Genomic DNA, 12,529 nt, shown 5'->3' on the forward strand with positions numbered 1-12,529 from the left:
AATTGTGTCTTAGAGTACTAAGTTTATCAAATGCTTTTTGATTGCATAGATGTATTTTTCATTGTTACCAATATTTATTGGGTCCCTGTATAGAGACAAGGTTTTAGTTCATTTCCAATACATTCAGAGGACGGCCGCTGTACTCAGCAGCACGAGGCTACCGTGCGTGTTCTTTCCACTGCTGGCTAACGGTGCACTGAGCGATTTCAGCAAGCCATGTCCTTCAGCCGTCATGTGGTCTGTCATGCTAATGAGGAGAACGAGGAGAATTAATAAGTAAAAGAGGAATGCTGGCAGTGGCTTATGGTTGGTTTTTTTTTTTCTTAAGAGTTCTATGTTTTTAATGGATTAAAATCCCAAAAAGTTAATAAAATAATAATAAAGAAAAACACGGAACAACTTCTTTGTTTGATAAAATTAAAACTTTGCAACCCATATGCTTCTCCTGCAGTTTAAATTGTCATAAATCCTGGAACATGGTTTTGGAGAGCAGTTTATTTATTAGTGTCTACTTTTCCTTAATGTAGGTAAAAGTATGATTAATGGAATAGGTTGTAGTTGGTGTATTGGACTTGTTGGCCCAATCAAGGGAGATACAGCAAACATTGTAAGGAGAGTATTTTTATCCCCTGGACACCAATGTAGGCAAAAATTATTCTTTCCAAGAGCATCTAAATTCTTGGTAATACCCTTGCAGATAAATATTATTGTGACTGGAAATTTAATCAATTTCTTGTTGATTGTTACTAGCCTCCTCTCCTCACCTTTATTCCCCTTTGGGCAGAACAGCTCACTTGTGTAATTTTGCCTTTCCCATCCTTGCCTGGAATTGGAGGCAAAATCTATATCATTTTAATGTTTAATTATGGTAAAGGTATGATATCTATAATCACTGGAAAAAATAAAGGAATATTCTTCATCACAGTTATTCAAATGGAAAATTAAAATGGAGTCACCCCCTCCTCTTGTTATTTCACAATAAATTACAGTTTGATCAAATATTTAAATGTAAAAAAGTCAAATATATTAAAAGAAAACAAATGAAATTTTTTTTTTTTTTGAGATGGTGCCTCACTCTGTTGCCCAGGCTGGATGGAGTGCAATGGTGCGATCTCACGGCAACCTCCGCCTCCCTGGTTCTAGCTGTTCTCCTGCCTCAGCCTCAGCCTCCCAAGTAGCTGGGACTACCGGCATGCGCCACCACGCTCAGCTAATTTTTGTGTCTTTAGTAGAGACAGGGTTTCACCATGTTGGCCAGGCTGGTCTCGAACTCCTGACCTCAGGTGATCCTCCTGCCTCGGCCTGCCAAAGTGCCGGGATTACAGGTGTGAGCCACCACGCCCGGCCCAAAATGAATATTTTTTAAAATGCTGCAGTGAGGAAGACATTTTCCAGCATGGCACAAACTCTAGAAGCTTGGGGAAAACAAATGGATACATTCAAATATTTAAAATGTCAAATTTTTTGTTTTTAATTTCTTTACATTAACACAGTTATGAGCATTTTCCCGTGTTACAAACTATCTCTTAAAACCTGAATTTTTCATGATTATTAATGCTCTATCATGTGAATATACCATACTTTAACCATCTCCCATATTTGTACGTTTTTTTCTAATATGTTATTTTAAATAATGTGGTACACATGCTTAATATATAAATGGTAGATCACAAATTATAACTTGAAGATAGCTCTTTCTAGCGGCTTGATTGCTGGATAAATGGGCATGAGTATGTTTGAGGATATTGATATGTAATGGAAGATTGTTTTCTGGGCGGGTCATTCTTAGCTACAGGCCCACCATAGATGTTGAGAAACCTAGGTGTACACATAAACCTGGACCACTATATTTTTAATTTTTGCTACCTTGAAAGATAAGATGTTTATTCACATTTCCATGATTATTAATTGACATGGAACAATGGGTAATGTTATTATTGACTTATTTTGTTAACTAATTACTTTTAATTGAACAAGAAGCACATGTAGTTGGTGGGAAAAGTTCTTAGATTGATGTGTTTCTTCCATTTCTTTCCAAAAATATTCTAAGTACATCAAGTATATGACTCACCCCCACCTTTTTTAAAAAAAACTGATGGTAGCTTACTGTGCACACCCTTTCCATTCTTTTTACTTAATAGAGTATCCTGGAAATCTTTTCTTGTCTGCACACATAGATTTACCTCTGTCTTTGTAACAGAAGCATAGTCTTCTATGTTCGACTATACAGTAATTTACTGTAAACTCCCTTGGCAATGAAAATTTGGTTATATTCACTTTTCACTGTTACAAACAACTCCAGTAAACATCGTTTTAAATATTTATTTTTATACTTTAGGATCAGTGGAATTGTTGGGGTTAATACTTGCGTAATCATATACATGTGCATTTTGATTGATACTGCCAATTGTATTTTATTCCAGTATATATTTTCATCAGCAGTGCAAGGCTGTGATTTGAATAATTACCCAAACCTGTGTATATGTTGTAATTATTACAAGGTTTAATCTTTAGTACAATATGACTTTATTTGTATTCCTTTAATTATGAGTATCGTTCATTATACATTGTTATAAATGAGCATTATTTCTCACTTTAGTTCCTCTTTTTGTGACAGTGTGATACTGATTTTAGAACTATTTAAAAAAATAAATTGCAGCATAGTTTTGGCATTGCTTTATTTTGACGATAATGCTGCTAGAATTAGTATACTCTGTTTTCAATGAGTGCTTTACATTGTGAACATAAAAAGGACGTTGAAAGTGAAAGAGAAAGGAAAGTACGGCCAGTTTTACTTCCAAATTCAGGAATTCTTGTTTTCCCAATTTTCTTACTGGAATGATTGGAAATTAAGGTGATTTGTGTTATTTTTGGTGGAGGTGGGCCGTAGGGTAATTGGGAAAGAGATGTCAATTGAAGGTTTTTGTGCTTTAGGAGAGTGAGGACTGTAAATGGCTTAGCTGCTGCTGAACTTTACAGACTGAACTTTCACAGAGCTCTTAGAGGTTCTCTACAAATGGAATCCTTTTAGGCACTTGTGTTATAAAATGTTGATTGTAACATTTGAAATAAGTGTGAGTTAATGGAAAGGGCCTTGTCTTTGCCTTTAGGAAGTTTCTACTTTGTTATCCTAAACCTGCCCCTTCACACCTCTGTACTTCAGGAACCCTTGAAAAGTTCTCTCTCCCATTGAAGTGAAACATGGGTCTCATCAGAGTATTCAAATTTGTCTCTGTATTTGTTACAGTGTCTGTGTGGAGGAGGAGAACGTTGGCTATTATGTCCTAATTTTACATTTGATTAAACCTGTGACTTTTTTTTTCTTACTGCTAATTTTTAAGTCTCCCCACATCAAAGTTAAAAAGAAAAATAACACAATGAATAATCTTATCTTTTCATTTATGAATTAGAATTTATTTTTGACTGTATAATGGATACTTAAATACATTTCACTTAGATATTTATACCTAAGCTAAACTCATTTTCTTATGACATTAGGCACAAAACATTGCATTTAATAAATATCTGCACAGTATTTATTATGAATGAGTGATGGTCTTTTTGAGATTAGAGCAGATAAATGCAGATTATAGGCAAAGAATTAGTATTTTAGCATCAATGCTGTGTCTTCCCAGTACAGTATCCAGTCTTTCCATTGAGAATTTCCCAAATTTTTCAGTTGTATATTCTTGTTTTAATCGGATTAACACAGATCTACTTCTAATTTATGTATAAGAATGATGGGTGGTTTTGTCTTATGAAATATAGTTATTGACTTTTCTGTTATTGTTGTTCAAATTTATGACAAAAGGAACAAAAAAGCTTAGCTGATTTCGGCCGGTAAGTTTAATGACTACTACCTGGAAATTAAGTGTGAAAGTTGAAATACTCCTTTGCTCCCACTAGAGGGGGATTCCTTCCAACTTAGGTAAAAATGCTCTTAGACTCAGCGTGAAAACCTTGTGTGACATTGATATTCCCTTTGTATTAAATTGAGGATAACCTCATGTTTTTAAAATCAGCTGATTTTCTGTAGTTGCTGATATTAAAATCTTACAGAAATAGAGGATGTAAAGGATACTTGAACTAGGGTACATATATATGTAAACAATAGTGCTTTTGAACAAAACATAAATACTTTTGTAGAGTTGCTGTAATTAAATTCGTTTAAAGGTATATTAAGAGTTTCAAAACAATTCCCCCAGCCCTCCTGGAGATAGAATCTGGGGTGAAGGGTGCCCTGGTGGGATCTGACTCCCTCCTCCCACCCACAAGGTCTGTCACTGTCTCTGTCTGCTGAAATAGCCACAGGGAGAGTTCTAAATTTCACACGAAAGCTTTGATTTGCTCTCACCTCAAGTTGTCAAATATATTAAAGCCTTATCTTTAAATAGAGCTCTATTTGCTATTGAATTTTCTTGTTACATTGACTTTTTATAATATGATAAAATATGCAGAACTCACTGAAGATTTTTTCTTGCAAAGTTAAACTGTAATATATTTTAAAAATAATTCTATTTGTGTTAAAAATAGCACATCAAGGGTGAGGTATGCAGATATGATCTATATGTGTAATTCACAAGCAAATGTCATACGATGTTCACAGTATTTAAGATTCAGCATATTTCCTGTTCGCGTTTTTCCTTTAAAGTCTCCAATGTTGATTAGAGGTTTTAATTTAAAAAATAGTTGAGGTTAGTAACCTAGCATTGTGAAAGTCAGGGCTTGGGAAATTCAAACATGTAATCTTTTTTCCTTTTCTTAAATGAAAAGTCTATAATAAGGCCTTGTTTCTAAATCTAACAGCCTTGGAAATTAAAATGTAAACAGAAATGCTGTCAGTGAAACTTACAATGATTTTTTCTACTATAATTGATCCAACATTTCAGTCTTTAGCCTAAAATCATATTTGGTATCAGCAACATATGGTTTTCTATGAAAACGAGGCTGCTCATCTCCATCCCTAATGGTAGTATCTTTCTTTTGCTTTCCGCACCAGGCTCTGCCAGTGCCAGGGGGTGGTCAGTGAGCCTGGCTTTCAGTGAAGCAGTTGGAGAAGACAATTTGCTTCCTTGTTTCTTCTTTTGACCCTTTTAACTTTCATACTGGATGAAAGTCTTATTGTCATGGCCTTCCTTTCTATATTTTCTGTCCACAAGGGAAGAATACAATTTTGTTTTATAGCAGGATACATTAGATAGGCCTATGTGCCTTCTACTTAAACACCTGCCACACATGCCTAGTTTTAAAAGGTTTAAAACTGACAGTGAAGCCTGTTACAGTCTGATATTGCCCACCCACCCCGTCTTCCTCTTTAAAAATACTCAGATGTGTTCTGTTGCCTTCTTTCCTTGTTCTTTTCCATCGTGTATTGGTACTTTGCAATAGTCAAAGTTAAAAGCTTTACACACGACACTGAATAATTATGTTTAAAAAACAGTAATTATCAATACACGTTTTGTTCCTCGCAGCTTTTTAAAATTCATGTTAATGAGCTCTGTCTTCTATGCATGAGACTGACAGGCAGTCTTGAAGTTTTGCCATCATTTCACAACTTGTTGCTTAGACACTGCCTGCCTTTTCCAGAGTATTGCTTTCAGGAACTCTTGCTCTGCAACATTCCAGAGATCCAGCGCTGCCCACTCTGATCTGAGCAGGACAAGAATCTACTGGTAGCACACATGCATAGTGAGATTGCTCTACAAAGGGCAGCTTCCCCTCACTGTCTGTCAGTAAAAGACCAAAAGGCATATGCAACATGTTGTGATTTAGGTGAGAAGGATGATTCTACTCACTCCCTGGATTGTTTTTGAGGAACTTCAACCACTACGTCCACATGATGGCAGATGGATTCATTTGATAGGAGCTCCCGCCGTCTTATAGAACTGAAACCCAGACGGTGACTGGGATTTCAGCCCAGCTCTTGAAGATACTCACAGATCTCTCTTTCTTGACAACTGACATAAATGGAATGCCAGTTTTCTCAGAACTCTCAATTCTAGGCCATGCCTGTGTCTGGTTTCTGTGGCTAGACTCAAAGAGGTTTTTGATAGTGCCTAAATTATGTTTTTCCTTATGATTTCAGGTTGAAGTCTTGGCCTCGGAGGATGCAGCCTTTGGACTCAAGGTGTGTAGTCTGGTGTAGTTCATTGTGGAGGTTTTTGTCAGTTCCTCCTAGGTGGATTTGAAGGTTCAACAGAGGGGACTTATTTTTTTTTTAATCATAATCAAAACACTGAGGTTTAAAAATCTTCACAAGTTTAAGATTTCTCTTATTGTGATTAAGATTAGACTGTGGTAGTATTTTCATTACCTTCTTTGTTGTGTAGAAAGAAACAATACAGGAAAACAAGAGTTTCGTTTAGCAGTAATTGACTTTTAAATTTCAATTCGGCATAGCACAAGATTTGCTTAAATTTTGCCCCAGTTTGGGGCTACTGAAATGTAAGATGTTATCAGAGTGCTGTATTTAGTTCATAGCTCCAGTGTTATTCATTGATTTATTAAACGTCCCCGCTTCAGACAGAACCCCTACCGTCCAGTTACAACCGGATTGAAAACCCAGCTCCTTCCCGTGAGGACCTCATGACCAGCTGACAGATCTAAGCCTATAAGCAGATAAATCATCCCACAGGGTAGCTGTATCCATGCAAGAAACATGCCAGAGGCTGCGAGTCGGGTGGAGTGGAGAATGGGAAGGCTTTCTAGGAGGTGGATCCCTGGGCTGAGTTTTGAGGGCTTAGGTTATACTGAGGCAAGAAAGGAGGGCAGGAGAAATGAGAGCTATTTTCGGGTAGAACAGCCACCATGAAAAATATCTGAGGAAGCTAAAAGTAGTTAAGTTTCTGTCTGTGTGGCAAGATCTGAGACTGGAGAGGTTAAAGATAACTTTCTCCTATAAAAAATGGTAAGCTATTAAAAGATTTTAAGCCAGGTAGTGGTCAGATTTGCAATTTAGACAGATGACTTTGGCCACTTTTTGGAGGACGGATTAACCAGAGACCAGTCAAAAGCAGTTGAATAGACCCAGTAAAAGTGAACACAGGCCTGAGCTGGCATAGTAGAAGCAGTGTCAGAGGGCAGAGGACTGGCAACCGCAGTGTGCAGGGTCTGGTGCCTGCTGGGGTATGCAGAGTAGGAAAAGAGGAGCTCAAGATGAGTCCAGGGACAATATGGTGTCACCCTGAGATAGAGAACACAAGAGGAAGAATTACAGATTTTTAAAAATTATAATCTTCCAGACCTGAATTGTCGATCAAATTACTTGCCTTTTGTACATATTTCCTGATAATTTTTAAATTTGTTAAATTTTGAGTAAATTGGGAGGCATTTGCCTTTTGTACATATTTGGTGATAATTTTTAAATTTGTTAAATTTTGAGTAAATTAGGAGACACTTATTAGAGAACTCTGATTTCATTTTCATATAGAGGTGTAGAAGTATAGGGTAGGTGCCATCAGTTACTTCGGAAGTCAGTTTGGGAGGATAGGAAGGTTGGTAGAAACTATTACAGAACACCAGGTATTGGTGATGACCCTCACGTGACTCCTCCATGTGCTACATCTTTGGCTTGAAACCAAGTTGGATTATTTATATATACATATATATATTTTACCATTTTTTTATCCTATATGCTTGACATTTCAAAAGCACAGTCTACCAGTTGTACAGTAATGACAGGTAAGATGACACTGTAATGCTACCAAAAGCAAAGTTTCTGAGGTTACAAATGTAGCACAATTTTACATTCATAAATATATGAAGAAAATTAAATTAATACTTTATAAATACTTGATACAACTCAAGTTTATAACCCTAATAAATTTTTTATGTTTCTGTATCTGCCAAAAATTACTAAAAGAAATTATTCTAAATAGAACCTAATTCAGTATTATTTACAGTATTTAACATATGGTTGTCTTGTGAATTTTTCATTTTTTATTTAATGCCCAGCATACATGTGGAATATTCATTGCATTTTTAATAGACCTGTAGGGTCAGTTCTTAGGAGCTCATTTTCATAATCCTTCATACTTACTGAGTATGCAGCAACGTTATAGAAGATTAGTGTAGCCAGCAGCTCTCATAGTCTGCCCTGCTGTGTGAAGCTTCCGTGTTTGTTCTGTGGCCAACCTAACAGGTTCCTTTTGTAGCCTTAACTTTTTTTTTTTTGAGACTGGGTCTCACTCTGTTGCCCAGGCTGGAGTGCAGCGGCGCGATCATGGCTCATTGCAGCCTCAACGTCCCAGGCTCAAGCGATGCTCCCGCCAGCCATGTGCCACCATGCCTGGCTAATTTTTTATAAAAATGCAGGTCTAACTATGTTGCCCAGGCTGGTCTTGAACTCCTCGCCTCAAGTGATCCCTGGTCTTGGCCTCCCAAAGAGTAGTGTTGGCATTACAGGCGTTAGCCACTGCTCCTGACCTCATAGCCTTAAATTTAATAAGTTGAAACAACAGTGAAAATTTTTTTCAACAATCCAGTGACTTTCACAGTAATAGATGCTTTTAGCTTTTGCTGATCTATACTGAAGTGTTTATACATATAATTAAAAATGGGAAATTTGACATTTCTTTTTTTTTTTTTTTTTTTGAGACGGAGTCTCGCTCTGTCGCCCAGGCCGGACTGCGGACTGCAGTGGCGCAATCTCGGCTCACTGCAAGCTCCGCTTCCCGGGTTCACGCCATTCTCCTGCCTCAGCCTCCCGAGTAGCTGGGACTACAGGCGCCCGCCACCGCGCCCGGCTAATTTTTTGTATTTTTAGTAGAGACGGGGTTTCACCTTGTTACCCAGGATGGGACATTTCTTTTTACTGCTTCATTATCTGGAAGTCGGCAAGTATATTTTTGAATTCCAAAAGCTACCTACCTTCCTTCCTTCCTTCCTTCCTTCCTTCTTTCCTTCCTTCCTTCCTTCCTTCCTTCCTTCCTTCCTTCCTTCCTTCCTTCTTTCTTTCCTTTCTTTCCTTCCTTTCTTTCTTTCCCTCCCTCCCTCCCTTCCTTCCTTCCTACCTTCCTACCTACCTACCTTCCTTCCTTCCTTCCTTCTTTCTTTCTCTTTCTTTCTTTTTCTCTCTTTCTCTCTTTCTTTCTCTCTCTTTCTCTCTCTTTCTCTCTCTTTCTCTTTCTTTTCTCTTCCTTCCTTCCTTCCTTCCTTCCTTCCTTCCTTCTTTCTTTTCTTTCTTTCTTTCTTTTTTCTGTCTTCTTTTTTTTTCTTTCCAAGACGGAGTCTCGCTTTGTCGCCAGGCTAGAGTTCAGTGGTGCGATTTCAGCTCACTGCAACCTCTGCCTTCCAGGTTCAAGCAATTCTCCTGCCTCAGCCTCCTGAGTAGCTGGGACTACAGGCGCGTGCCACTAATTTTTGAATTCTTAGTAGAGACGGGGTTTCACCATGTTGGCCAGGATGGTCTCGATCTCTTGACCTTGTGATCTGCCCGCCTCGGCCTCCCAAAGTGCTGGGATTACAGGCGCAAGCCACTGTGCTCGGCCAGAATTACCTTATTTCATAAAGGTCTAGGTATTCAGCGTTAGGTTTTTAAACGCATTCACAATTGGTGTTTCTTCCTGTTTTTGTAAGCACTGGGAAAGGTAACTCAAGTGTCTAAGTCACTGTGGTAACACATGGCACCCTCTTGGCAAATGCACAGAACATTTCTGAGCCTGCTGGAGTGTGTGTCCTGTGTATGTCGCCGCTCCTTTTAGTGATGATCTTTAATGATCCTTTATCTTTCTGTACTTTTTTTCCTACTAATTCTTTATACTTGTATGCTTTGCCTTCTCTTAAGCGAAATTAAATTTACAAGCTTAATATTGACTTAGCACAAATTTGTCAGTCTTACTGGAAAATGAGTTAAATACACTGGGACCCAGAAATGAAAACAACTTATTTTTGTATGTACATGTGGCGAAACTACAACCCAGGGAAACAAGTGTGCAGTCTCGCAAAACTATCATGACTAGCAAGGTTGATCTGAGAGTAACTTTTTACTCTAGTCAAATGGCAAATATCTATGTTCTACTTCTTACATCTTAATTTTGCACAAATAGAGATTCATTGTTTTGTTAGGCTTATCTCATTTAAAGGTAACTTAGAATTTGAAATGCTGAAGCTGTTTCACAGTATAGTAGACAATAAGCACTTCCGCTGTTTTCCCGTGGTTTTAGTTTTTTCCTCTGAATTTAAGTAACTTTTATTTTCTTGAGTTTGTTTCTATACAGGTCTAATTAAGATAATTATTTTTAAATTATATCTACTTATAAACAAGAATTTGAGGTGAATAGAAGAGGTGCTTCAAAATAAAAAATGGGTGAATATATGCCTTTGTTAGTAAAGTTCTGAAACTGTAGACCACTATTCTTATTTTCAGCTTTGATCATGATTTGAATATATTATAAAGTTTATAATTCTATAGAAAAATAAATCAGAAGTCCCAGCAGCCACCAACATGGGTTGGTTCTTTTTATAGGATAACCGTGCCTTGTATATCATTAATGAACTAACTAAAGCTGCTGTTGATAATGGGATGATAAATCAGCTAAACATTTATATGTGTACATATGTGATTACATTACTAAACATAGGGAAAAGACTGAAACATTGACTTGTTGTTTATGGATTCTACATATAGTAGTATAGAAAATTATAGTAAGGGGTGTAAACAAGAAAGGGGTATGTAATTAGCCCTGGGTCATTAAAAAACATGTAAACATAACTTAATAAACTTCTTAATAAATTTCTTAAGAAATCTTACTAATCTAATAAGTTACTTCAAAATTTCATGACTGTGAATGTTCTTCATCTTCTGATTAGGTGGCTAAGTCCAGAATTAGAAAAAAGCACGTTTTTATTTAATCCACTCTCATATGAGACGTGGACACTGTTGTTATCCCCAGTGTTAGGTAAGGAAACAGGAACTCAGAGTCTAGAACTTGCTCAAGTTCACGCAACCAATCAGTAACAGAACTGGGATTTGCACCAGCAGTGTCAGCCCCAGCACCTTCTCTGTTTTCTGAATGTCCTGATCACTGATGGAACTGATAGGGTGTACCCTGTACCCGCCTCTCAGTCTTTACTCCCCATCTTCTTAGCCACCATCACCACTGCCCCACTCAACTCCTCTTACTAAGGTCCCCAACGACACACCCAGATCTAGCAGAGCAGTTCACTACTTGCCCTGTGCCTGCCTCCTTGCGCATTTGACCTAATGGACTTCTTCCTTGGCACACTCTCTTCCTGTGGCTTCCTCAGCAGCGTTTTGTTGATTCACCTCCTACAGGTCTGGCCTCGATTTCTCAGACTCGTCTTCCTCTTCACAGACAGGCAGTAATGTGTTCGATTCTCCTCTCTGCTACATAAGCCGCTAATACCCCACGTTACACCTTCCCCTCCTCCTCCAGGGTGTATTCTTAAATATCCTGCCGAATGAATGAATATGCATAAAGCCATGACAAAGATGAAAACATGTATCTCTTGTTCAATACAGTGTATTTCCTGGGGTAAATTCTTAGGGCTTGCCTATTTGACAATAACGTAATTTGATTCTCAAAATAATTTTTAAAGACTTTTCCCTTTGAAAGATGGAGGGACAGAAATATGTATTACCAGTGTATTCATTTGCTATACCTGTCTTCCGGGCTAAATGGACATCAGAATTCCACAAAATCAAAAATATTTTGATAGGGTGTTTTGGCTGACATGTTCTTTGGGAAGAAAACTCTGAATTTTATGACTCTTTTTATAATATTTGATATAAACTATTAAAAATACATGTGGAGAGGTCAGTTTAAAATGAATTACAAGGATAATCAAGGGGAAGCATATTGTATTACTCTAAAAAAGAATGAGAAAAAGAAAAATGATGCAATTTATGCTATCATTGGGTCCCACAAGATCACAGGAGCCCTCCACTCCTTTTTTTTTTTTTTTTTGAGACAGAGTCTCACTGTGTCACCCAGGCTGGAGTACAGTGGCGTGATCTCCACTCACTGCAGCCTCCACTTCCCAGGTTCAAGTGATTCTCCTGCCTCAGCCTCCCAAGTAGCTGGGAATACAGACCTGTGCCACAACGCCCAGCTAAGTTTTTTGTATTTTTAGTAGAGATGGGTTTTTACCATGTTGGCCAGGCTGGTCTCAAACTCCTGACCTCAAGTGATCTGCCCGCCTCAGCCTCCCAAAGTGCTGGGATTACAGGCATGAGCCACCGCACAAAGGCTACACTTAACTTTAATCCTCTTTGGTGATAATTTTTAATATTTGTTTTAGGCACCTAAAATTTATTACTATAAAAGAGAAAGGTCTAAGCTAAAGTATCTGAACATAAGATGTTAAAGTAAATCCTACACTTGTATTACTTTTTACCTGTATTTTGGTTGATTAGATATCTTAGAGAAAAATAACATCAGCGTTCAAACTGGTCTTCCAACCCCCAACTAACAGAGTCCCTTAAATATCCCATGCCCTTTGCTGCCCTTAGCTTCCCTCCAGCCTAGTCTCCACCTTGCCTTTCCCCTGAAATGCTTACCCTTCCTCT

The 12,529-nt window shown here is 37.8% G+C and overlaps 1 protein-coding gene across 38 annotated transcripts in view; it reads left to right on the top strand.

The window, feature by feature from the left end:
* The window catches only part of ARID1B (AT-rich interaction domain 1B), a 434,754-nt gene that overhangs the window by 254,724 nt on the left and 167,501 nt on the right, over positions 1–12,529 (top strand). For 19 of the 38 annotated variants that reach the window (XM_011535984.3, XM_017011105.3, XM_017011104.2 and 16 more), the window contains one exon: positions 6,086–6,127. The exons of 17 other annotated variants lie outside the window; for them this stretch is intronic. In XM_011535984.3, coding sequence (XP_011534286.3) covers positions 6,086–6,127 — 42 coding nt within the window. Of the gene's footprint in view, positions 1–5,677; positions 5,773–6,085; positions 6,128–12,529 lie in introns of those variants that run through there. 2 more of the 38 variants (NM_001363725.2, NM_001438488.1) reach the window with 1 other exon arrangement.

This window comes from Homo sapiens, chromosome 6 (genome assembly GCF_000001405.40).
Source record: "Homo sapiens chromosome 6, GRCh38.p14 Primary Assembly".
Taxonomy (NCBI): Eukaryota; Metazoa; Chordata; class Mammalia; order Primates; family Hominidae; genus Homo; species Homo sapiens.